The sequence below is a fragment of the Homo sapiens genome, chromosome 22, assembly GCF_000001405.40.
Source record: "Homo sapiens chromosome 22, GRCh38.p14 Primary Assembly".
Taxonomy (NCBI): Eukaryota; Metazoa; Chordata; class Mammalia; order Primates; family Hominidae; genus Homo; species Homo sapiens.
This window is the reverse complement of record NC_000022.11, coordinates 48226433-48252908: the sequence shown is the minus strand read 5'-3', so window position 1 is coordinate 48252908 and position 26476 is coordinate 48226433. Positions and strand designations below refer to the sequence as shown.

General features: G+C 48.6%; 5 annotated features.

Moving 5' to 3' along the window:
- Positions 8081-8581: an enhancer, noted in NCBI's record as "H3K4me1 hESC enhancer chr22:48640140-48640640 (GRCh37/hg19 assembly coordinates)". NCBI's record gives its function as "activates a minimal SCP1, AML or CMV promoter by ChIP-STARR-seq in naive H9 embryonic stem cells {active_cell/tissue: H9 hESC(naive)}" and the evidence as "EXISTENCE:reporter gene assay evidence [ECO:0000049][PMID:30033119]".
- Positions 11479-12360: an enhancer, noted in NCBI's record as "H3K27ac-H3K4me1 hESC enhancer chr22:48636361-48637242 (GRCh37/hg19 assembly coordinates)". NCBI's record gives its function as "activates a minimal SCP1, AML or CMV promoter by ChIP-STARR-seq in naive and primed H9 embryonic stem cells {active_cell/tissue: H9 hESC(naive and primed)}" and the evidence as "EXISTENCE:reporter gene assay evidence [ECO:0000049][PMID:30033119]".
- Positions 12361-13242: an enhancer, noted in NCBI's record as "NANOG-H3K27ac-H3K4me1 hESC enhancer chr22:48635479-48636360 (GRCh37/hg19 assembly coordinates)". NCBI's record gives its function as "activates a minimal SCP1, AML or CMV promoter by ChIP-STARR-seq in primed H9 embryonic stem cells {active_cell/tissue: H9 hESC(primed)}" and the evidence as "EXISTENCE:reporter gene assay evidence [ECO:0000049][PMID:30033119]".
- Positions 13243-14126: an enhancer, noted in NCBI's record as "NANOG-H3K27ac-H3K4me1 hESC enhancer chr22:48634595-48635478 (GRCh37/hg19 assembly coordinates)". NCBI's record gives its function as "activates a minimal SCP1, AML or CMV promoter by ChIP-STARR-seq in naive and primed H9 embryonic stem cells {active_cell/tissue: H9 hESC(naive and primed)}" and the evidence as "EXISTENCE:reporter gene assay evidence [ECO:0000049][PMID:30033119]".
- Positions 13343-13548: a silencer, noted in NCBI's record as "fragment chr22:48635173-48635378 (GRCh37/hg19 assembly coordinates)". NCBI's record gives its function as "represses an EF-1alpha promoter that drives an FKBP-Casp9 reporter gene in an ReSE screen in phorbol 12-myristate 13-acetate-treated (for megakaryocytic differentiation) K562 erythroleukemia cells {active_cell/tissue: K562(+PMA)}" and the evidence as "EXISTENCE:reporter gene assay evidence [ECO:0000049][PMID:32094911]".

The window sequence follows — 26476 nt, the reverse complement described above, 5'->3', positions numbered from 1 at the left end:
AGGCAAGGGGGACATGGCTGCTGATGGAGCGGGTCTCTGCCCAGGCACTGTCCCAGGAAAAGAGGACATGGCTGCTGATGGAGCGGGTCTCTGCTCAGGCACTGTCCCAGGCAAGGAGGACGCAGCTGCTGATGGAGCGGGTCTCTGCCCAGGCACTGTCCCAGGCAAGGAGGACATGGCTGCTGATGCCCAGGCACTGTCCCAGGCAAGGAGGACATGGCTGCTGATGGAGCAGGTCTCTGCCCAGGCACTGTCCCAGGCAAGGAGGACATGGCTGCTGATGGAGCAGGTCTCTGCTCAGGTGCTGTCTCAGGCAAAGAGGACATGGCTGCTGATGCCCAGGCACTGTCCCAGGCAAGGAGGACATGGCTGCTGATGCCCAGGCACTGTCCCAGGCAAGGGGGACATGGCTGCTGATGGAACGGGTCTCTGCCCAGGCACTGTCCCAGGCAAAGAGGACATGGCTGCTGATGGAGCGGGTCTCTGCTCAGGCACTGTCCCAGGCAAGGAGGACGCAGCTGCTGATGGAGCGGGTCTCTGCCCAGGCACTGTCCCAGGCAAGGAGGACATGGCTGCTGATGGAGCAGGTCTCTGCCCAGGCACTGTCCCAGGCAAGGAGGACATGGCTGCTGATGGAGCGGGTCTCTGCTCAGGTGCTGTCTCAGGCAAAGAGGACATGGCTGCTGATGCCCAGGCACTGTCCCAGGCAAGGAGGACATGGCTGCTGATGCCCAGGCACTGTCCCAGGCAAGGGGGACATGGCTGCTGATGGAACGGGTCTCTGCCCAGGCACTGTCCCAGGCAAAGAGGACATGGCTGCTGATGGAGCGGGTCTCTGCTCAGGCACTGTCCCAGGCAAGGAGGACGCAGCTGCTGATGGAGCGGGTCTCTGCCCAGGCACTGTCCCAGGCAAGGAGGACATGGCTGCTGATGGAGCAGGTCTCTGCTCAGGTGCTGTCCCAGGCAAGGAGGACATGGCTGCTGATGCCCAGGCACTGTCCCAGGCAAGGAGGACGCAGCTGCTGATGGAGCAGGTCTCTGCCCTCCTGGGTGGAGTACACATCCCCACGAGGGGTCCGGTGTCAATTATCAACAAGGAAGACACAAATCAGATTGGTAAGCATCCCCTTGGCAGCTCCATGAAGAACAGAGGACTGGCAGGGAGAACAGAGTAGGTAGGGGCATCGTGGCAGGGCTGAGGGCTGGAGGGGGAGGCCCTGTGCTTGAGTGGTGGGGTTCTTGTTGTGGTTTTGAAAGTCCCATGGATTGAAGATGAGGAGTGAAAATGAAAGGGGATTTGAGACGTCGCTGAGGACTTTGGTCTCAGAAACAGAAAGAACAGTTTTCCCACTTACAGAGATTGGGAAATGGGGGAGAAGCATGTTTTGAGGAGAAATCAAGAGTTTAGAGTCACGCGTGTTCCATTTGAGATGTCTGTCAAATGTCAACTTCTATGGAGTGTTCAGCTGTGTGTATGAGGAAGAAAGAAAGGAATGAAGGAGGGAAGGAGTGAAGGAGGGAAGGAAGGAGGGAAAGAAGGAAGGAGAGAGGGAGGAAGGATGGATGGATGGAAGGAAGGAAGGAAGAAAGGAAAGAAGGAAGGGAGAAGGAAGGAAGGAAGAAGGAAGGAGAGAGGAAGGAAGGAAGGAAAGAAGGAAGCAGGGAGGGAGGAAGGAAGGAGAGAGTGGTGGAAGATGCATGTCCTGGAGCTACACGTTTCAGAGTCTCTGCAGATGGACGGTACTAAAACCAGGTGACAGGAGGATACTGCCCAGGGGACTGATTGCGTATGGACAGGGAAGAGGAGGGGAAGGTCTGAGCCTCAGGTACTAAGGTATCAAGTTCACCAAAATGAGGATGAGCCAGACAGGAGCCTAAGCAGGGGCAGGGAGTGAGAAAGGGTCAGGAAGCCAGGTGTCCTGGAAGCCAGGAGGAAAGAGTGTTTGAAGAAAGAGTGAGGGGTCCATGGTGTCATTTGCTGAGAGAGGCGCAGGACAGAACCCAGGATGGCACCCAGGCCCAGCCACCTTGTCAGAACTCTCCCAGTGCTGGTGTGAGACCTGCCCAGCCTTCCTCCAGGAGAGTGGCAGGGACTGTGCCAATGCTTCCTGGCAACTTTAGGGGCAGAGGCAGGCACTGGGGAAACCTGTAACAAACACTATCTCAGAAAATGCGCGAGCACAGGCTTGACCAAGCGGGAGAGATGTGACCGGGTCCTGCAAACATCGGAAGCCCAGTGCTGCAGTGGAAGGACCTTCCCTTTTCCAGACGCCCCAGAGAGCGGAGCAGGCATCCGTGGGTGGAAGGAGGGCTTGGGGCAGCCGAGCTGGTCAGAGAGTGGATGTGGAGAAAGGGACCCAGTGGGCGCTGGGGAGCAGGAGGGCCTCGTCCCTTGCAGAGGTCAGCCCCAAGCTGAGGTGGGAGCAGCTTCTAGAACAGAGAGACTCCGTTCTCTTGAAGTCTTTAACCACCCTTCAGGGCACTCACTGGGGCCAGGGCAGGGACTGGTGGCCCCATACGGGAGGGTGCCAAGAGGAGCGTGCCTGTCTGTCTCTGCCCCGGGGAATCTGTGACTGAGGAAGGTGGTGCAGGAGGCAGCAGGGATGGGCGGGATTGAGCCACCCCCAGGGCGTCCAGACTTGGCTGCTCAGGGTGGCTTTGAGGCTCAGGGTCTATCCATACCTTCTCCAGGAGCCACTAAACATTCACACTTAAAATAATGAACACACTTCCCCTGACCCTGCCCATGGTAAGCCTTTTGCATCTTTGTATGGTGCAGCCCAGGACCCTCCCCAGCGCTTCCTTCAGCCCCAGGAGGAGCCCAGAAGCCTCTGCCGTCCCCTCCAGAGGCAGCTGGATGTGTTTAGAGGGGGATGTGGGTAGAATGTTCACCTCTCTCCCGCCTTGGGAGCCAGGCTGTGGGTGAGCTAAGGAAGCGACTGTGGAATTGAGAATTTTTGCTTTAGGCGTTTTCTCTCTTTGAAAACTATTCTAAAGAGCAAGATTGTGCAAAGTGACTCAAAAATTTAACTCCACGGAAGAATTTGCAAACTGCAAACTGAACTCCATTTGCTTAAGTCAGAAGAAAGCCTTTGAGTCATGGTTGTTTAGATAGTTTTATTCTGTTTGATACATTTTGCAAATATAAGCACATTTCCTGGAAGAGTTGATGTTGCTGAAAGGCGCAATCTTTTTTTTTTGTTTTTTTTTTTTTTGAGACGGAGTCTCGCTCTGTCGCCCAGGCTGGAGTGCAGTGGCGGGATCTCGGCTCACTGCAAGCTCCGCCTCCCGGGTTCACGCCATTCTCCTGCCTCAGCCTCCCAAGTAGCTGGGACTACAGGCGCCCGCCACTACGCCCGGCTAATTTTTTGTATTTTTAGTAGAGACGGGGATTCACCGTTATAGCCGGGATGGTCTCGATCTCCTGACCTCGTGATCCGCCCGCCTCGGCCTCCCAAAGTGCTGGGATTACAGGAGTGAGCCACCGTGCCCGGCCCAAGGCGCAATCTTATGAAAAGCCAGTCCCATCTCTGCCCAGCAGGAAGGCTTGGTCCAGTGCCCGCCTCCTCACCTTCCCACCGAGGTGTCTGGGGCTTCTTGCCCTGGGTGTGGGTTCCTGGAGGTCACTTGCAGCCCAACCCGCAGCCTGTGGGTCGCAGGGGAAATAACAACGGCTGGGGTCCCGGTCGCCAGGCTAGGGCTCAGTCCCACGCACCTCCCACCCTGCTGTGCCATGTAGGTGTCCTCAGTGTCCTTATCCTGAGGCCCAGGGAACTGAGATGACCAACCAGAAGCTATGTCACTGATAAGCTCCCAGCCTGGTTTCCAAAGAACTTCAGATGCCAGGACATTTCCTTTCAACCACATTTCTTCCCAGTTAGTAAAGAGAGGGAAGGAAGGAAGGAAGGAAGGAAGGAAGGAAGGGAGGGAGGGAGGGAGGGAGGGAGGGAGAGACGGAGGGAGGAAGGGAGGGAGGAAAGAAGGAAGGAAGGAAGAGGAGAAGGGAAAAAGGACCTCACTTTGGTCTTGATTTCTTCCTGATTATTTTAACCAGGCTTAGGTGATCCTCCCACCTCAGCCTCCCAAATAGCTGGGACTAGAGGCATGCCACCACACCCATCTAATTTTTATGCTTTTTGTAGAGACGGGGTTTCACTATGTTGCGCAGGCTGGTCTCAAACTCCTGGGCTCAAGAGATCTTCCTGCCTCAGCCTCCCAAAGTGCTGGGATCACAGGGGTGAGCCACCCTTTAGTCTCCTGTAAACTATGTTGGGTTTAGGGGTCTCCCTTCTATAGTCTCCTGTGACCCATGCTGTGTTTAGGGGTCCCCTCTGTAGTCTTCTGTGACTTACATTGTGACTAGGGGTCCTCCCTCTCTAGTCTCTTGTGACCTGCACTCTGTTTAGGGGTCCCCCATCTCTAGTTTCCTGTGACCTTCACTGTGTCTCCTGTGACCTGTGCCGTGTTTAGGGGTCCCCCCTCTCTAGTCTCCTGTGACCCATGCTGTGTTTAGGGGTCCCCTCTCCAGTCTTCTGTGACTTACACTGTATTTAGCGATCCCCCATCTCTAGTTTCCCGTGACCTGCACTGTGTCTCCTGTGACCTGCGCTGTGTTTAGGGGTCCCCCCTCTCTAGTGTCCTGTGACCCGTGCTGTGTTTAGGCATCCTCTCTTTAGTCTCCTGTGACCTGAAACTTTCTTCCGTTTTGCCGTGTCTTCTCTGGCCTGACTTTCCTCTCTGAAAGGCAGCAGCACTCCTTCGGGGAAATGGCTGGTTCAGGACCTCAAGCAGGAGGACACAAACAGAGCCTTAAACAACTGACTGTGCCCAAAATGAGGAGCTTCCTCAACATCGATGGGGCAGGTCTGAGGGACCGGGAAGCCTGCTCCTTGGAGCACCTGGGCCAAAGCCACACAGTGTGAGCACCAGAGCAAGTGGCAAGGGACAGATCATTACCATCCAATAAAACAAGAATGCGTGAGGCTACGCTGACATAAATACATACAAATAAATGATAGATAAATCAATAAGTGAATACATGGAGGGACAGGAAGGGCTTTTCCTTAGAGTGGAACACCAGCTAACAAACACCAAAAGTTGGAAAATCATCACTTGCCCTCATCATAGTAATAACTAATTCAGGCTAGAATCATCCTAGATCCTAAATATGAGAATGTTTGTTGAGAAAAAGGATATGTATATAATCTAATAATCTCCCTACCAAGTATTTACTAATTCACAAAATTAAAACCAGTAACTATACAGTGGAGAAACCAGGTCACACTTTAACCAAGCGCTCAAAATTAACATGATCGACTAAGGGCAAACAGATGTCGTGCACACCTGGGTGTGAGTCCCTGGAATGTGGGTCCCTGGAAAGGCAAAATATCATTTATGCAGCATTCGGCCAAAAATTTGTCAAATGAATCTAATCATCAGGAACATCAAACAAACTAGCAAATTTTTTTAGTAACTGACCTGTATTTTTTTTTTTTTTTTTTTTTTTTTTTTTTTTTTTTTTTTGAGATGCAGTCTTGCTCTGTCGCCCAGGCTGGAGTGCAGTGGCGGGATCTCGGCTCACTGCAAGCTCTGCCTCCCAGGTTCAAGTGATTCCCCTGCTTCAGCCTCCTGAGATTGCAGGTGCATGACACCATGTCTGGCTAATTTTTTTGTATTTTAGTAGAGACGGGGTTTCACCATGTTGCCCAGGATGGTCTCCATCTCCTGACCTCGTGATCCGCTGGCCTTGGCCTCCCAAAATGATGGGATAACAGGGGTGAGCCACTGCGCCCGGCCTTAGTAACTGACCTGTATTCTTACAAAAGATGTTTAAAATAACTCTGGAGTCATCAAATGTAAAACTCAATAGTGTCAAGTTTGGATGACATAAGACAAGGCTGTTTTATATGTTCTCAACATGTCATGGTGTCTCTCTTTCTCCAAGAATGTTTCTTCAAGTAGGTTGACCTTATTCCGTATCTTTATAAGAGCAACATCTTAGACACCCAATTGAAAACAAACCCAAACCCACTGGATCCATCATCCCTCATCCCTCCCTCTCTCTCTCTCTCTCTCTCTCTCTCTGTTTTTAGATCTCCCTGCTTGCAACAAGAGCCAGAGAATGGGTTTTCACTTGGTAAATGTAGGTGGGGAGTGGGAAAGGAGGTAGCAGCCGGAACAGGCTAAACTGTGCTACAGTCACTAATGACCCTGGAATCTTAGTGACATAAACACACACACACACACACGGATAGAGATCACTGTCTGCTCATATTACTTATCCTGCATAGGCAGGGGGCTCTGTTCCACACCTTATTTCAGGACCTCAGGCTGCTGGAGGTTCCCCTTTCTTGAGGCAGAACCATCTGGATCACAGCCTTCCCTTCAGCCTTGGTGAGGAAGGGCATTTTGAGTACAGCATTTGGAAATAAGCACACCTGTCACCTCCAGGTGAAATCAGCCACAGATGTGGTCTTTCCTGGGTCTGGAGGGGAAGAAGACTTGGACAGTGGTGAGTGGTGGTTATATCTGCCCCAGGGTTAAGGAAAGGAGATGAGGAAGCTGCCCACCTTAATCACAGAGCTCCAGGAATCTCCTTGCTGGAAAAGACCCACAGAATCCATCTGCAGATCAGCAGCTCCAGGCACCTTGCAGAAAATGAAGCGCAGCAGCCAGAGTGAGCCGTGGCTGCTTAAGGACCCAGTGGAAGGAGTCCCCGCTTCCTCCAAGAGGAAGACTTTGAAGTCAACACTTATTTATATGGGTCTGTCCTGGTTAGTTTATTGTCATTATTTCATATACTTTTTTTTTTTTTCTGAGATGGAGTTTCGCTCTTTTTGCCCAAGCTGCAGTGCAATGGCATGATCTCGGCTCACTGCAACCTCCACCTCCTGGGTTCAAGCGATTCTCCTGCCTCAGCCTCCTGAGTAACTAGGATTACAGGCATGCACCACCATGCCCAGCTAATTTTTCGTATTTTTAGTAGAAACAGAGTTTCATCATGTTAGCCAGGCTGGTCTCGAACTCCTGACCTCAGGTGATCTGCCCGCCTCAGCCTCCTACTGCTGGGATTACAGGCATGAGCCACTGAGCCCAGCCATTTTTTTCTTTTTTTCTTTTTTTTTTGTATCTTCCTCTGTGCCCAGAGATGATTGGACTCATAGCAGGTGCATGATAAACATTTGTGGAATTGAAATATTTAAGCATTTCCACTCATGACAGACATCATAATCACCGCCCTAGAAGAAACTGTCGGGGATATTTTGTTGTGCCGGAATGTGGTTCCCGTCTAGTTTTAAAAAGGTAAACACGCTGCAGGGGAAGTTTATTGCATTTTCTAAATAGAAAAGGACATTCTCTTCTTATAATTCACCTGAAATATCATTCTTAACTTCTGAGAAATCTTCAGGCCTTTTATCTAACGCAGAGCAGAATTTGCCCCAAACTAAGCATTTGGGGACAGGTCTTACTTACTCTGAATTGTCAAGCATTTTAACAAAATCACATCTGCATTTGGGGAATCTTCTAGCAACAAACAAGTTCATGAATGTGGACGGCAGTCTTGGTGAATGTGATGCTGGGCATGGACCACACACCACTTCCTTCCTGTCCTACCCATATAATTACGGAGTGGTTGTCAAGCTGTAACACAATCTAAATGCTATGTACATTAGCTGGAGGGGACAGAGGCTGACAACCAAATGTTTCCCAAGCTCCAGACCTGACTCAGGTAACACACCTTCTCCTGGTTCACTGTGATGCTGCCCAGCACCCCTCGAAGAGCCTGAGGACCTCCCAGGGCACGGACACTCCTGGCCAGACGGGTTGCTCAGATCCCGGCATCGGTTAGGATTTATTCTGTGGACAACGGAGTTCTGCAAGTTTGTTGACTGGGAGGAACTGGGTCATATTTGCTTTGCAAAGGACAGAGGAGGGAGGCTGGGCGAGAAGCAGCTGTCTGTGGACTGGCCGGGCAGTGTCGGCGGCTGGAGGCAGGGGTGCCAGCGGCCGTGTCGGTTCCCGTGGGAAATATGCATGGCCCTCGCCCTGCTCCCTGTTCCTCTGATTCCCCCTTGAAGAGAAATTAGGGGTCTTTTGGGGAGCACAGAAGGGGCACCTGATGTAGCCTGGGGGGTGGCTCTTGGTAAATGCCACTTAAGATGCAACGTGAAGTGGGCAGAGAAGGCTGCGTGGGGGACATCGAGTGTCCCGGACTGAGAGGAAAGCCGCATGGGGGCCTAGACAAGAGGGGAGGGTCGCATGTGGAAGGGGTGGCGGGTCCACTGTGGCCCTGCTGACTCTGCCTGCTCCGAGCGCTCTGAGCGGCTAACTTGCTCAGTGGCCAATGCCGGGTGGCAGGGCAGACAGGCAGCCCATCCGCCACACCAGGGAACTCACCGCAGGCATTCACACCCTCCCTCCCCTCACACAGGATGTTACTGTGGACCAGGATGACGGCAGCTGCCCCAATGCCCCACCCAGGAGCAAGCCCACGGCGTGGTCGTGGTGCCTCCCTGTCGGACATAAAAGTGACCTCACAGAAGTCCTGGGGTGGACGAGGTTGGTCTGGGATCATGATGAAGAGAGACCCAGAACAAAATGACTCCAAAATTACGGTCAAAAACAAGGTCGCTGTGCAAAACACAAGGTGCCAAGTGCCCTCTTCCCAGCTCCTCTCAGTGACATGGCAGCTGTATCCTCCCAGCCTCATCCTCATTTCAGGCTGCCTTCCAAGACAGATGCACAAAGAGAACACAAATAAATCATTACCAGCCCCCACCCCCAGCAACCCCCTCCTGGACATCTGCCCACGTGCTTTGAAAACGCACCTCCTCACCAAAACCTGTCCAAAAAGGTTCAAGGCCACATAATTCGCAAGAACCCAAAGGTGGAAACAACCCAAATGTCCCTCGATAGATGACTGGAGAAACAGAATGTGGTCCATCCACGCAAGAGACAGTAATTCAGTCCAAAGGAGGAACAGGATTTCGTCTCATGCTGCAACGTGAATCAACCTTGCAACATGGCGCTTAGTGAAAGAAGCAGACACAAGACCACATTGTGTGTGACCCCACTTACATGCGATGCTGAGAACAGGCAAAACTATAGAGACAGAAAGTAGATTTGGGGTGGCCATGGGTGGAGGGGAGCATCGAGAGAGGGACTGAAGACCGTCACAGAGCTCCTTTCTGGGGTAATGAAAAGCTTCTGCAATTAGATAGTGGTGATGGTTTCACAACTTCATGAATACGCAAAAAGCCACAGAGTTGTATTTTACAAAGGTACATTTTACGGCATGTGAATTGTATCTCAATTTTTTATTTTTGAGACGGAGTCCTGCTCTGTCGCCCAGGCTAGAGTGCACTAGTACAAACTCAGCTCACTGCAATCTCTGCCTCCTGTGTTCAAGCCATTCTCCTGCCTCAGACCCCCGAGTAGCTGGGACTACAGGTGTGTGCCACCACACCCAGCTAATTTTTGTATTTTTAGTGGAAATGGGGTTTCACCATGTTGGCCAGGATGGTCTCGAATTCCTGACCTCAGGTGATCCGCCCACCTCAGCCTCCCAAAGTGCTGGGATTACAGGTGTGAGCTACTGTGCCCAGCCTGTATCTCCATTTTTAAAAAGATGTCTGATCGTAGGAAAGATCCCTACTTGTTACCAAGAGCCAACTTCTGCTTCCTGGGACCCCTCCACAGCCCTCGAATCCAAGCCTGAATCCTGTACATTCTTTTTGGCACCCTCTTACTGAGGCACCCCAAAGTTTCCCTGAGTCTCCTTTCTCCAGCAAGCAATGAAGCCACCTTGCTCAACTGCAGGGGGTCCCCTGGGGTCTCTGGCTGGTGACATTGGCTGGATAAACATCTGGTGCCCTTGTCCTGAAGGTGAGCACATCCATGAGCGATGGGATAGTTCTGAAGAAGCCAGCACATCTCTGAGCCTGCAGGTCAAAACCATCACTTTATTCATCGTGGAGGAGGCTTCCTGAAGCCTTGTCATTTGTTAACTGAACAAATGCTCTGAGGCCTTGGTCAAGGCTGAGCTTTTCGGAGCATGGATGGCTTGGCCTGGCTAGTGATTGGCCCGCGTGGCCACACCCTTCAATCCCCTGGGCACTCTCCTCTTCTGCGGTCACATGGGTGAGGGTGGGTGCTCCAGGCAGGTGTCTATTCATTCGGGTTCAACCAGAGACACAGAATGTGGGGGTGGGGATGGGGCATGTGGAGGGATTTATAGTAAGAGATTTAGTGCCAGGAATGGCCTTAGACAACCTGGGGGGTCTGGCTAGGCAAGTTGGAGGTCTGGGTGGGTTGGGCCCCAGGAGGGCAGGCTGGAGCGCTGTGGAAGTCTTTCTTCAGGGAGAGAATCCTCAGCTCTACTCTTAGGGTCCTCAAATTAGTAAGTCAGGTCCACCTGCATTATCCAGAACAAGTTCATCCAACCCGAAGCCCGCCGGCCACAAGCAGCCCAGGACGGCTTTCAATGTGGCACAACAAAAATCCCTAAACTTTCTTAAAACACGATGAGTTTTTGTGTGTGTGTGTGTGTGTTTTCAAGCTCATCAGCTATCGTTAGTGTTAGTGGATTTTATGTGTGGCCCCAGACAATTCCTCTTCCAAGGTGGCCCAGGGAAGCCGAAAGACTGGACCCCCTGGATGGACAGCTGTCCTCACTGAAAGCTGCGGAGGTGGGTTTTAGCCACACCTCCAGACCTCTGCTCCCCATCTGGGCTCTCCTTTCCAGGGGCCCCTTTGGGAATGCGAGGAGAATGTGGGGTTCCCCCAGCTGTTCCCCCTCTCCCATGGGTCACAGCCACACCCTAGTTTCCAAAGCCTGGAACAGCTGATTTGTGTGAGAATAGCTCAGATCTCCATCTGTGTTTTTGATCCATTGGAAACACTTCCTGGTGTACAGTCTGAGATGAGGGGCACGCTCACACTTTGATGTTACTCTCTCTTTGTGGTTTCCTCTTCAATTCTGTTCTGAACGTGGGCAGACACGTGGTGTCATTTTTCCACGCCTGAACAGCGCTCCAGGCCACAGCAGGAGATTCAGTCGGCCCCGCGGATGCGCTGACTTCCTGTGGCAGAACCTGGGCCCACGCCTTGCTCCATGAGGATCCAAACAAGGGCCCCGGGTCCCAGGGCTGCGGGGGTGGTCATTGTGCTGGGAAGACGGGTCGCTCAAGTGATTCTGGTAGGGGCTACTCAGGCCTGCACCAAGAGCTCCGAGGGTCTCTACCTCCACGAGGACTTCCTCTGCTTGGTGCCCCCCACATGCTCTGGGTGTTCTGCAAAAAGGAAAGGTTCGACAAAGGGGCCATAACATACACATCACCTGCAAACAAAATCTCTGCCCTGGGTGTGTTTTGCAGTTACTCTGGCAATGGTCCGAGAGGGTAGATTTGATTTCCTTCAATCTCCAAGTTCACGAACCCCATCTCCTTCCAAGAGCAGGCCTTTACTGACTGGAATGGATTCAAGTGAGACAGAATTGAAATTTCAGGGGTAAAATTAATTGCTGGTCTTTGTTCAACCCCTACAAGCATATCACAATTAGCCCCTAATGGCCAGGATGTGGAAAGTAGAGATAACTGGGGCCCCAGTCATCGAGGGAGCCCTGACTCCTCCTGGCCTCAGTGAGGGCACGAGTGCTGCCATCAATGTCGTGGTACTAGAATCATATACTGGAATATATGCCAATGCCCCACCCTCTTGTGCCTGGGATTAGCCACCGGCTTCCACACTGCACGGTACAGACACCATGGCACGGCGTTCTCAGCCTCCCTCTCACCCTTTTCCCAGCAGAAGCTGAAAAGCTGGAAAGAATATTTTGCCAACTGCCTCTCTCACCCGGCATTGGGTAGAATGGAGCCCATCCTCCTCTGTCTGCTTTTGACATGCAAGGTCATAGGATACACGTGTTTGAGGTGGTCGTAACAGTCATCATGGGATACACGTGTCTGAGGTGGTCGTAACAGTCTGAGTGGCTTTCTGGTATCCAGTCCCAGCTTTATGGGTGTCATGGGCAGTAGTGGAGTCTCTGGGGTGGCTTCTGATGGCAGCGGTGGTGGTGCACTCTAAACCCAAATGCCAGGCTCAGCCCCCCACTTCTCCAACCCATCCAACAATGTGTCCTGTATTCAATTCCTTTCTGCTTAGGATGCCTAGAATGTGACCTCACCAATGTGCACAGCCATTAGTAGGCTGCTTAGAGAAAGAGACCTGGCTTGATCTTGACTATGAACTAAGAAAGAGCAGCCCTGGCTGATAAATACTCCTATATAACTACGGAAAATCACGTCAGCCAAGGGAGAGGACTTGTTACCTCCTCCCACACCCTAAAGCACTGACAACCAGCTCCTCCAGATGTTCCTGCAGAGATAAAGAAGTGGCTGGGAGGTGTGCACTCACCGTCTGATTAAAACCGTGTGCTTCAGACATGGTGGAGGGGACTCTCACAGCATGTAAGCCCCCTGCCTTTCACACTGACTGCTCCACACCGTCCATACTCCTCCAGAGGAGCTCGGGGCGGAGCCGTCAGACTCCACTGTTCTGGACTAAATGAGGCAGAGGCTGTCTGCCTGAATGGAAGATCTCAATTATGGCCTATTATTCCAGAAACGAAGTCTCATTCCCTCTGAGCACACACTCTGCAATGGATGAAAAGCCAACCCATTATCAAGGAGGGTCCTGCAGGGCCGCTGCGGTGATTAGATAAGGATCTTTTGTAATCGGCCCTGTCATTCTTTGTTCTTTAGAATGATGTTAAAGCCCTGTTTCTCAGACAGCGAACTCTCCCCTCATTTCTTCTGCCCATAGCCACCCGCTTTCTTGGAAGAGTTTTTCTGCATAGACAGTGCAGAGAGGAGCTCAGAGCCAGAAGCCTCCACATTCACAGGGCCTGGAGTTCTCAGGGTTCAGACAAATGTGGTGGGGAAACCTCTCTGTCTTACCCTGATGCTCCTTGTTAGATTGCAGGTTTGCTAGGCACAGGTCTCTGGGAATTGTTGAACTATGTATTGCCTAGGGCTGACACAATTTTCTGGTTCAAAGAACCGATTGGGTTTGGCCCCTGATGGGATTTAGGGAGTTTAAGAGAAGAATGAATCCACATTCTGAGTCTGAAGCCTGAAAGATTAGGGGACAAAGCCCCCCTGCAGGAGGAACTGGCCAAGGAGGGGAATGGCAGGGGCCTTGTTTTCCTCAGAGTGCTTTGAAGTTTATGGGGGTTGCTTAGATTCCTGCAGAGTCATCACACAGACAGTGAAGCCACCTTCCACAGGGCACGTCCCCTCCCACAGTTGTCAGTGCCAGAACCCAGTGACAGAGCATAGTGAATGCCTTCGGGCCGCCGATGTGTGCATGGCCTCTGGGCTCCTGCTGCCTCCCAACCCCAGCTAGCCCGGCTGCAGTGGGGAGGCTTGTTCTTGACGGGGGCGATAGCGTCTTACATCAGGGTCAGCTACACTTCCAGGCAAGTCGGTGTTTAAAAAATGTATTAGCATCTGAGTAAGAAAGCAGACCACAGAGAGGGCAACTGCACACCCACACCGGACAAACCAACACCACAGGAAGGCCCTGAGAGCTGAGAGGAGCCCGGGCGCGGTGCTATGCCTTTCCACACAGGCACCCGCGCAAAAAGGCCGCCTAGGAATCCCTCTGGGGAAGTCTACATTCTGGGAACAGAACAGCAGAGAAGAAAAAGGAAGAAAGCACTCAGCACCCCCAGTGGCAGCTGTCCACATCAACAATATGTGCTGGCCACTGGCCCCAAGGGGCCACCCACACCACCCTCTCCGGTGGAAGGAGCTGCAGATCAGAGCCTTGGGGACAACTTCTGGGCACAGCAGCCCTTTCCACCCGTACCTCACGTGCCGTGCACTGCACTCAGGCCTCGAGAGCCTTAGCTGCCAGCTCCAGAGGTTTCCAAACCAGGCTGTGCTCCAGAATCCCACAGGGAAGTTATTGAAACACAGATTCAGACGTCTGGCTACGGGTTTTGTGTCCTTCTAAAATTCATATATGCAAGTCCTAACTCCCAGTGCCTCAGAATGCAGCCTTGCTGGGGAACAGGGTCAGTGCAGACACAATTCGTTAAGGGGAAGTCACATAGGGGTACAGTGGGCCCCTAAGACAATAGGGCAAGTGGCCCCATAAAGGGGAAATTTGGACGCAGTGACCGACAGGCACAGAGGAAAGCCTGTGAGAAGAGACACAAGGAAATGATGGCATCTGCAAGCCAGAGAGCTCCAGAGAGGCCTGGAACCCATTCTCCCTCTCAGGCTTCAGAAGAAACCGACCTTGTGGACACCTTGATTTGGGGCTTCCACCTCCAGAACTGTGAGGCAAGAAAGCCACCCAGGCTGTGGTGTTTCCTTACAGCAGCTCTAGTGAACTCATACATACCCTTCCTAGAAGCAGAATTGACATGGCGAAGGGCCTGGAGCCCTCCACTCTGTGGGCCCTTGAGTGATTCTTCTGGAGCCCAGTGGGCACGGTGCCAGGGATGGGACACAAGGCTCTGAAGCTTCAGCGTGGATGACCCAGGGGATGCTGCTCACATGTGGAGCCTGACTTGGCGGGGCTGGGTGGGCTCTGAGATGCCACAAATGTAACAGCTCCCAGAGGACCCTGACGCTGCGGGGCTCTGGTCCTTGCCTTGGATAGGAAGTGTCCAGAGTTAGATGGTGCCTGGCCCAACCAAGGTGTGGCCCCCAGTGTTAGAGTGGAGGGGTCCTCGGGGGCTGCATGCCCACTCCCCTCACACTGCACATGACGGAAGGATGGAGGTAAGGAACGGAGGAGGAAGGGGCTTGTCATGATCACACGACTACAGACAGGCAGTGCTGGAATCAGAAAGGCTTTCTCCAGTTCCGGCTCAGTTGTCTTTGTGCACACACTACATGCCTGACCCCAAGCTAAATGGTGCATGGAATACAAGCAGGAAATGCATTTCTCTTTTAAAGAGTTCACAATCCAGTTTGGAAGACTCATAAACTAGTTAAAGAGAAACGGAGGAGAGAGGGCAATTAGGCACTCAATGGAACTGAATTATCACGAGATCATTTGTAGGGGGTGGCCTGGGCCCGCTTGCTTCCCCAGTAGATGGATCCATCATGCAGCAGCTAGGCCTGCGCTGGGGAGGGGGCGCTGGAAAGGTTACATGGCGAAGAGGTTGCACAGTTAGACCAGCGGCACAGAATGGATGTCTGGGGTGACCTCACCAAGGTGTGAGTGAAGCTCTGAGCTCCGGTGCCGTGTACTGAGAAGGAGCGAGGCCTAGTTTGCTCTGCGCCTGTGCCTCCCAGCACCCAGGCACCTTGCCGCTTCCTCTTCACATCTTACCCCCACACCCCCGGGTGCTCTCAGTGGCAGTGCCCATTCCCACTCTTCCCTAGGTGGCCCTGCTGTACCACGCCTCACCTGCCAGTCCCAGAACTTGTCCACGTGGACAAATAGAAGTCCTGAAGCACACACTGAATGCATCTTCCTCCCCCGCCAAGTCACGGTGCCGTCCTGTTCTGGTTCTTTCTCTGGGTTCTCTGTTTTGGTCCATCAGGCTCTTTCTCTGTCCTTGTGCCAGCACCATCCCTGGTTCCTGAGCTAGATTCGAGAGCCTAGAGGTCATCCTCCGGAGAGTCATGGCCTCTGTTGGTCCTTGTTCTTCTGTGTAACTGTTAGAATCATTTCGCCAATTTCTACAAAGACCTGTATGGAGATTTTCATTGAATCTGTGACTCAATTTAGGGAGATTTGACATCATTCTGTATTGAATCTCTCTCACTTTAAATATGGAATGTATTTCAATATATTTCTGTCTTTCAAAATAAATGTATAATTTTCTAGTGAGGTTGTGCACATGTTTTGTTAGATTTCTTCCTATGTACCTTACATTGTTGTTATCTTAAATATTGCTGATTTAGAGAAAAGAGACCATTAGTTTTTATATGTATTGATCTTATATCCAGTGCTATACTAAATGCATACTAACTTTAATATTTTTTGTAGAATGCATCTGGGGTTCTATGTAGATGATTATTATACCTCCAAATAGTTACAATATTTCCCTTTACATTATATATATTATGTATTATATATAAAATGTAAAGAGAAATTTTTCCCTTTTTACATTTTATATATATATATATATAATGTAAAGGGAAGTATTGTATATCTATTTATATATCATATGTGCTTTTACGTATATATAACCTTATTTTATCATACTGTCTAAACCTTTCATATAAAAGGTATGATATTAGACTTATTTCTTTTTATTTATAATTTTTTTAGGTTCCCTGCTTTGTTATTAGGTGGGGGCTATCCTGAAGGCTCCTGATGGAGACCTGGGTGTTTACCTGTTCATCTCCACTAAGAGCCTCCCGCTCTGTACCCTGCTCGGGGATGCCAGGGCTTAGCTCCTGCAAATTAAATTTCCCAGACTCCTTTGCTGGCTGGCTTCCAGTTGGGCCCTGCTAGTGGGAGGATCTGCTGGGAGTACGGAAAGCAGGAGGAGGAGAAGAGAGGCTTTTTTCTGTTGGTCCTTGTTCTTCCATGTAACTGTTAGAATCATTTCGCCAATTTCTACAAAGACCTGTATGGAGATTTTCACTGAATCTATGACTCAATTTAGGGAGACTATACTGAATCTCTATCACTTTAAATATGGAATGTATTTCAACATATTTCTGTTTTTCAAAATAAATGTATAATATTCTAGTGAGGTTGTGCACGTATCTAGTTAGATTTCTTCCTATGTACCTTACATTGATGTTACAAATATTTTCAATAGTTATGTCTTCAATATTGCTGATTTACTGAAAAGAGACCATTAGACGTTTTTCTGGCTGCAGGCACTGTCAGCACCTGTCCTGCAGCAGAGGAAGCTGGAGCCCAAATCACCTCATCCGACTTCCACGTGCTCCCAGTGCCAAGACCCGTGCAAGGCACCATCAGCCATCTCTCGAGAATCGCCACATACCACACCACACACATACAGGGACGCCAGCCTGAGCTCTGAGCACCCATCATTTGCGGTGCGTGTGGGTTTGGGGGGAGGCTCTCTGGGCCACCCCCAGCAGTGAGTTAGCATCTATTCCCCATACACATTAAATTTTAATCCACTTTAAAATTTCAGTAACTTCAGCCCAGTGGTGACAACTGCTTCCGTAATTTATTACATACGAATTACCTTGTTAAAAAAATTTTTCTTTATGCCTTCCAATACATGAATAAATCATCTCTGTGTTAAATTCCCTTCATTTGAAATACCTAGGATAATTTCTATATTTTCTGAGGATCCTGATAGAATCACATTTACTTTGGTAAAAGATATTTTTGGTTTTACTTTTGATCAGGGGTGATTTCAAATTATATTAACTCATTTATATGCATGCATTTATTTAAATAATTACATGGGTTTTCTCCTTTAACGTGGTAATGTGGTAAATTAGATTGATGCAATTTAAAATATTAAATCAAGTAATTCTTGGAATAAACTGTATGTGGTCTTGGAGAAAGACATAGGAGGACAAGAAGAGAAAATCAAAGAAAAAGGAAGGAAGAGGAGAAAAAGGAGGGATAATGAATGGAAGCGGGGAGGAGAGAGGGAAGAATGAAGAAGAGAAAAGACCCTGGCCAACATGGTGAAACCTTGTCTCTCCTAAAAATACAAAAAAAAAAAAAAAAAAATAGGCGGGTGTGGTGGTGGGCGCCTGTCAATCCCAGCTGCTTGGGAGAATCGCTTGAACCCAGGAGGCGGAGGTTGCAGTGAGCTGAGATTGCACCACCGGACTCCAGCCTGGGCAACAAGAGTGAGACTCTGCCTCAAAAAAAAACCAAAAAAAAAAAAAAAAAAAAGAAAGAAAAGAAAAGAAAAGAAAAGAAAGGAGGGAAGGGAGAGGCGGCTTCATGTGAATGTCAGGATTGGGATTTTTTTTTCCATGTAATTTTATGCAGGAGCCTCGCCTCTCTATCATTTTCTTTGCTCATGCTAGCTTTGTCCGGTTTGAGTATCAAGATTAGAATAGGCTTGTAGGATGAGTTGGAGATATTGCCTCTTTTCTTCGTGTCTGACAAATGTGTATAGGTTTGTAAACATCTTGTCTTTGGAAGTTTGCCAGTGCTTCCCTCTTAAACAAGTCTTTTTCTTAGTGTATTTAAACTACTGATTCAACTTCATTTATGCATTAGAGACCTGGAAAGGGAGAGCAAAATATGGAGTATATATTTTAACTTTTATTTATTTATTTATGTATTTATGTATTTATATATGGAGTATTTTTTTAACTTTTATTAAGTTCAGGGGTACATGTGTTTGTTATACAGGTATACTTGTGTCACGGAGGTTTGTGGTACAGAGTATTTCATCACCGATGTATTAAGCCTAGTGCCCATTAGTTATTTTTCCAATATGGAATATATTTTAAGTGACCAGGGGCATGCGTGGTCTAGAGAACTGTAATATCAGGTAAGATCTGCATGAACTGAATGATCAAGGTAGCTGAGGGTTCTTCTCCAGACCCACTCTCCTCCGCATCACACTCAGAATAATACACTTACTGGAAATCTATAGTGACGGTTTTATGGACTTGCAAGTGGCCCATTTTTGTAAACTTTCCACGTGTGGGTAAAAAGGCCGTGCAGTGTCCAGCAGACTCATGTGGGGTCTGGGTCTCCCCACCGACTGCAGTGAGCTTATCTGGTGGCTTCAGTCTTCTGCATCTTGACTTCCTTTCTGTCCGCTGACTCACCGCATTCCTGCAGGACTTGTGTTGCTGTCTCCAACAATGACGGTGGATTTGGCAATTCCTCCTTGCAGTTCTGTCAGTGTTCCTAAATATTGAGGCTACTTCATTAGGTGCCTGCAAGTTCAGAACTACTGTACCTTCCTTACTGATGGAAGAAGTGCCACTGGGACCTTCTTTATTTCTGTACATATTCTCAGATGTATGTTTTTCTGCTATTAATAGTTGATCTGCCCCAACTTTCTTTCAGCAAGTGTTTGTTGAGCATACATAAATTTTCTGTCTTTTCATCTTCACCAGTTCTGTTACTTTTTGTTTTCATCGTGTGTCTGGTTTTAAGCATGTAAATTGGATGTGATTGTATATTTTGTCATGTATTTTAAGCATTTAATTTTCTCCATTTATATTTATTGTTATGCCATCTTATCATGGGTTTCCCATTGGTCCAAACTTTCTGTCTCTTAGTTTCCCATTTTTTTTTTTAGTTTCTTTTAGACTGGTTTGGGTTTTTCTCCTTTCATCATTTCCCCACTTACACCTTTTAAATTATAATTAAAATTTTGCCATTCTCACTTTTCATTGGCAATGCTAAATGTAATGAATAACTCAATCCTTTCCGGGTAACACAGACATCTGAGCACACTAACCTCAGCTTTTATTCCCCAACAAAGTCTAAAACCTGTTGTTTTTCCAGTATTTTAATTAGACTGTGTATTATTATTCTTAAATTTCATAAATTATCTATGATTACTAGCCAATATTTATTCACATTTACCCACATTTACCAATGTGGTCAGCATTTATTCTATAGTCTCATATTTTTTATTTTTCATCAATGTTTTGGCCAACATTTCTTTTTTTTTTTTCTTTTTTTCTTTTTCTTTTTCTTTCTTTTCTTTTTTTTTGAGACAGAGTCTTGCTCTATCACCCAGGCTGGAGTGCAATGGCCTGATCTTGGCTCACTGCAACCTCTGCCTCCTGGGTTCAAGCGATTCTCCTGCCTCAGCCCCCCGAGTAGCTGGGACTATAGGCATGCACCACCAAACCAGGCTAATTTTTGTATTTTCACTAGAGGCAGGATTTTGCCATGTTGGCCAGGCTGGTCTTGAACTCCTGACCTCAAATGATCCACCCTCCTCGGCCTCCCAAAATGCTGGGATTACAGGTGTGAGCTACCATGCCTAGCTCATTTCTTCTTACATCTCGTGGTTTTATCCTGGATCATTTTCCTTCTTTCTGACTTGTCTTTAGGAAGTTCTTTTGGTAAAAGTTGTTGACAATTTTCTTCTAAAATGTTCAATTTTACCTTTGTACTTTTACTGGACACAGAATTATAAGCCAACCATGATTTTTCCTTATACTTTGAAAATGTTATTACACAATTATTTTGGCTTCCATTATTGCTGTTTAGGAATCTGCTGTCAATCTAATTGTTAATCTTTTCTGAGCAATCTCTCTCTTCTCTATAAGGCTTTTCAAGATCTTTTGTATGTTGTAAAATTTTACTGCGATGGATCAAAATGTTATTTTGATGTATCCTTTTATGTATCCTTCTGATTTTATTTGCCAGTGTGTTTGTATCTGTAAATTCATGCCTTTCTTCTGAAAAAAGATTAATTAGTCCTGAAAAGAAACATCAGCCATTATCATTTCAATTTTTCTTTTTTCCCATTCTCTAGACTTTTTTATTGAAACTCCGATGTATGGATGTGAGACATTCTGGTTTTACTGTGTGTGTTTTCACTCCTTTTCACATGCCTCATGTCATCTTTGTTTCTGCCCCATTACGGTAATTTTATCTAATCTATCTTCCTTTTCTTTGATTTTATTTTTAGCTGTATCTACTTTGCTATTTAACCTATTCATTAACCCATCATTTTGGTCACTATATTTTTAATTTCCAGAAGTTTTATTAATTCCTTAAGAAATCTGGTCATTTATGTAGTTTATTCCTTCTTACTCATTTTGCCAACATCACATTTATTTTAAATTTTTTCATACTGTGTTATTTTGTGTCCTGCTACTAACAGTTGAATATCTAAAGTCTATTGAGGGAAGTGCTGCTAAATCTGTTCCCCTTTTTAAATTGATTCTCACTCCTGGCAGCTTTTTCCTTGTGCTTTTGGTAACAGTTTTAATGCTTAGTTTTGATTATGTTTTGTTCCACCCACATGTTGGGCTGAATTTAATCTATGGGAATCCTGAGGGATTTGGATTGAATTTTTTTCTAAAAAAATTAATATTGTTACTACCAGGTGCCAAGGGAAGTTAGCAACCTGAAGACACTGTGACAACAGAGACAGTCTGAAATGGAACATCAGACAATAATTATTGGCATTATTTTTTCTACCTGGGACAGTAGCAGATACAATTTCATGTAATCTCCCTTCGCAGTAGGTAGATATTTTTAATTCCCACCCTTTCTCTGAGGATATGGCTCCTCAAGAAAACTGGCTTTACACAGAGAACTTGGCTTAGCTCCTACATAAAAAAAGGAGCCAAATCCTAGTCTCCTGACACCTCTCCAAACTGATCCCCCAAATCCTGGGTTTTCAATGTTGGCTTTTCCTCCAGAGCAGCACCAACTTTTATGGTTTCATTTATTTGTTCTCTGCAGGTAACTTCAGTATTTTCCTTTGAACCTATTCAAACATGTCAAATTATATATCTTGCAATTTACCCAGAATCTGGGGGATTTTGTGTCTGAGGGATTTTTCAGATCACCCACTGCTCAAAGCTGCTATTAATATGTTTCATATTTTTAATTTATTTATTTATTATTATTTTTGAGATGGAGTCTCACTCTGTTGCCCAGGCTGGAGTGCAGTGGCACTATCTCCGCTCACTGCAACCTCTGCCTGCTGGGTTCACACCATTCTCCTGCCTCAGCCTCCCAAGTAGCTGGGACTACAGGCACCTACCACCACACCTGGCTAATTTTTTTTGTATTTTTAGTAGAGATGGGATTTCACTGTGTTAGTCAGGATGGTCTCGATCTCCTGACCTCGTGATCCACCCACCTCGGCCTCCCAAAGTGCTAGGACTACAGGCATGAGCCACCGTTCCTGGCCAATATACTTCATATTTAAAATGTGAGCAGAGATGACATGGGTTTGTGGAAAGAGTCTTGTCATCAGTGCTGGGTGAAAATATCATAGTGTTATTCGCTAATGATGGCAACTTTGGTCTGACACTGACATTTTCTCACCTGCATCTTCTTTAAGATGGGGCTGGTAACAGCTACTGTGGAAGGCTGTTGTAAGGACTAATCGAGATAACATATGTGCAGTGCCGGGAACAGTATCTTGTGCCCAGGAATTGCCCCAGTGCCTGCCGGAAGAATAAATGATGAAATAAATGGCTTCAGTGCCACCTCCACTGAAAATTCATCAGACTTCCGTCCCTTCCACTTGACTGAATCAGGTCTCCACTGTTAACCTACACTGCTTTGGCTTTTTTCTGTGCTTTGCCTCCCCTCGAGATGAGGCCAATGCTCCTATCTCAAGCAAAAGCAGTTTCATGGATCCTACTCGTCCTTTTAACCTCCCTCTGGCACCTGTTTCTCTATGTGTTACACGAATCCTTGAGGTTTTAAGGAAAATGTGGAAGCATGCGTTGACTCAGTTCTTCAGAAGGGAGGATTCACCTAATCTGGTAAGGGTGACCAGAAGGCAGAAGTGGAGGGGTTCGTATTGGGGCAGGTGACCCAATGGAAAGAGCTCGGGGGTCAAGACCCCAGGGAGAGCTGTGCTTCTCTCTCCAATTTATTTATCAATTAATGGTGCAGGGAGAGTTGTCCAGGCCCTCGAGGGGACACAGTGGGAACACCTGGTCAGAGGGACACAGTCAAACCACTCCTATGTCTCAGTGGCCTCAGTTCTAAAATGACTCTACCTACCTCATCCCAAAGAAGGTTAGGAACAAAACCCCTTTTAAGGCAAGCCAGAACCTCATCCAACACCTCAACCTTCAGAGTATGTGTTTGTTGTTAATTTTACTAACATAGAGGATGTGTGTTACATAATTTGTAAATGATAATAGTCTATATACCACACTGTTTATTGTAAATTCCATCTAGGCAATTAATTCTCACAGAATATTTTCATTGAGTGTTTGCTGAAGTCTTGTATGTGCTGACAAACTATAATTGCAATTGATGAATGTGCATAGCTTCTACGTGAACATTGGTTATTTTTATTTACAAAAAAACCCTCAAATGTATGTGTCATGCATACAATTTACATATTTACATACATTAAGCACAAAACTTATAGGGAATGCAGACAATAAAAGTAAAACAACGAAGACACATGCTGGAAGTTCACTCATTGGCCAATGACCCCTACAACGGCTCTGGGTTGGGTATGAGTTCCCAAGGTCTAGATGAATATTTCTTCATTTTTCAGTGCTATAAAAAATGTAACAACAATAACAAGAGCACACCTTGGCATTAGATGTACATCAGTGGCAGTTTCTCCCCGCTTTACCTCCAGATAATCAACAAAACCATGAACCAAGCACTGTCTTGTCATGTTTGCCAATTTCCGTGGTGTAAATACCCCCACCAGGGTTGACTTGAAGCTTCACACCACACTGGAGGTTCAGCTGAGAAGTGGTGAGTGGCAGCGTGTCATTACAGAGCAATTCCACCATATGGAAGAAATAGACACAAATGAGATTTCAGAAGCAAAACTCCTAGTGAACTGTAATTAGACAATTAGGAAGGGCTGAATTTTAAGTATGCATTGCCCTTATTTTATTGAATTGTAAATTTATATAGTATAATTTTTAATCATGCCTATTGTATTAGCTTCCTCAGGCTACCATCACAAGTTACCACAAACTTGGGGGCTTAAACAACAGAAATTCATCTGCTCAGGGTTCTGGAGGCCAGAAGTCTGCAATCAAGGTGTAGGCAGGGCCACCCTCCCTCTGAAGGATTTGAGGGAGGATCTTTCCTGCCTCTTCCAGCCTCTGGTGGCTCCAACTGCATCTTAGCTTGTGGACAGATTGCCCTAATCTCTGCCTTCATCACCCCAAGGCGTTCTGTCCTGTGTGTGTGACTCTCACAGCCCCCATCTTTCTCTAATAAGGACATCTGCCACGGGGTTTAGAGCCCATCAGAAACCTCGGAGGCCTTCACTCAATTACATCTGCCAAGACCCCTTTCCAGATAAGGACACTCGCCATGAACAGATCTGGTGGGACCTATCTTTTCTTGGGGGAAGGGAGCACTATTCAACCCACTTCACCTACGTTTGCACCTGCCTCACAATATTCCTGGAAAATTAACCGTCTTCTCTCCCAAGCCAGCATGAGCTGGTTCCAGCATGTGGCTGGAAAGAATCCCAATTTGGTCCACACTTTCTGTGGAAACAAAACAAAGCCCACCTGTCTCTTTATCTGATTACACAGCTACTGAACACCCACCAAGTATAAGGGGCTGACCCAGGGTCACCTTAGAGGGCCTCACCTCTGCAGTCTCACCAGACCCACCTTGATGCGGATCCCCGGCTCCTGCTCTGGGAAGGCTGAATTGGATCTGCTGGAGCCAGGGCTGGCCCCTGAGGAGGTGGAGAGGTGCGTGTGCTCCCACACTGAGCCCAACTTATCAGAGCCCAGAAAATGGGCAGAGGAACAGGAAAGGAGGTTCTTCAAGCCAACAATCCCTAAACCTCTGAGCCACGGATACTTCTCCAGGGCAGCCCCTCCTGAAGCCCATGGGGCTGGTGATGCTGATGAGGATGGCTGGGTCACCTCCTCAGACCTCCCCACAGCCCAGCACTCAGGACGGATGCTGGATGCCTGCTGAATGGGCCCAGCCAGAGGAGTGTGCGGCTCACACCCCCAGAGCCCCGTTTTGCTGTTGATAATGAGGCATTCATTGTTAGTGAGAAACCGTGAAAACTCAGGAGAATTGGCCAACATGGTCACATTCATCTCCAATAATGAATTCAGTGACAATCGTGCTTCCGTCAGCGCCTAAAAAAGGAAAACAGAGAGTTTGAGGGACATACTGGCCCTTTGTGGTGTGGGGGGTTTCTGAGGACAGCAGCCCAGGACCTGCGGCCGGGGCTCAAGGCCTGATGTTGCACCTCAATTTCCTCTTCTGTCAGGCGATGAAGTGCTAACTCCTTCCAAGAAGCTCATGAAGGTTGCAGGAGGTAAAGGATGAAAAGGGGCACCATAGCTGTGGAACACCCCAAAAGGTTACAGTGACTGAGAGAAGCAAGGGACACCAGAAATTAGCAGACCTGAGTGGACAGTGCCAAGCCCAGCCTCAGCCTGCAGCCGAAGTCTCACCATGTGCAATTGTGTCCTTGGTCAAGGCAATGGGGTTCCAGGAGTTCAATGGGCCAGGCAGAGGGAAAGCTTTCTGGTCACCTGGGACAGATCCCAGAAGGGGTGGCTTTGGTGGAGAGGTGGGAGGAAGGGTGACTAGAGGGCTAGCCTGGGGCAGGCTCCCCTAGGGGAAAAAGGGGAGGAGAAAGGAGAGCATGGCCAGGACTTTTCCCAGACCTGTGACCTGTGACTTCTCCTGTCATCCACAAATGGGACTGGAGCCCCTCCGGGCAGCACCCACTCCCAAGACTCTGCCCTGACATTTTCCCCTCTCTCAAGCCACCCCTTCCCAGTGTCCTGGGCTTGGCCTGTGGAGGACCAGTACTGGGGCCCCTGTCCCTCCAAACCCCACCCAAGTGCCTTCATATTTCACCTCTTACATCCCCCATTTTCACAGGATTGCAAGAGACTCCAGAGCTGCCCCCGACCCAGCCTTCCCATCTGACTTCCTAATAAGAGCACCCCTCTGGGCCGATGGCGCAGTGAAGGAGGCAGGGGTTTAACAGTTTTAAGATCGCCCACCTTGTTTTTCCTCCATCCTTAAGGCTTTTGTTATTAAAGGTTGTGCATTCCATGACTCACTATGGGGCCCACCACTGGGTCCTATTAAACCTGGCAGCCTTTTAGATCAGCAGTAAGTGGATAAGAGCAGAACATCCAAATGTGAGCAGCTTGGTGACCTCCAAGGGAGGGGAACGGGGCATGAGATGACCTTCTCCCCAGTAACGGTGACATGTATCGGTCCAACTTTTGACCAACATGAAACGGAGCAGAGTGAGATCCAGAGAGCCGCACAGGTCCTGGGAGAAAGAACGTGGCGGCAGCAGCAACCCAATGCACATTTGAAAGGGGTTGACAGTCGGCTGAGGAAGACCCCAGGGGATGTGCCTACCTGCAGAGGGATCAGAGACTGGAGGCTGGGTGCACCTGGCGCTGGGCTTACCACCTGCAATGCTGGGTGGGCATGGTACACCTGGCGCTGAGCTTACTGCCTGCAATGCTGGGTGGGCATGGTGCACCCGGTGCTGAGCTTGCCGCCTGCAATGCTGGGTGGGCATGGTGCACCTGGCACTGAGCTTACCACCTGCAATGCTGGGTGGGCATGGTGCCCCCGGTGCTGAGCTTAACGCCTGCAATGCTGGGTGGGCATGGTACATCCGGTGCTGAGCTTGCCGCCTGTAGTGTTGGGTGGGCATGGTGCACCCGCTGCTGAGCTTGCCACCTGCAATGCTGGGTGGGCATGGTGCACCCGGTGATGAGCTTGCCGCCTGCAATGCTGGGTGGTCATGGTGCCCCCGGTGCTGAGCTTGCCGCCTGCAATGCTGGGTGGGCATGATGCACCTGGCACTGAGCTTATTGCCTGCAATGCTGAGTGGGCATGGTGC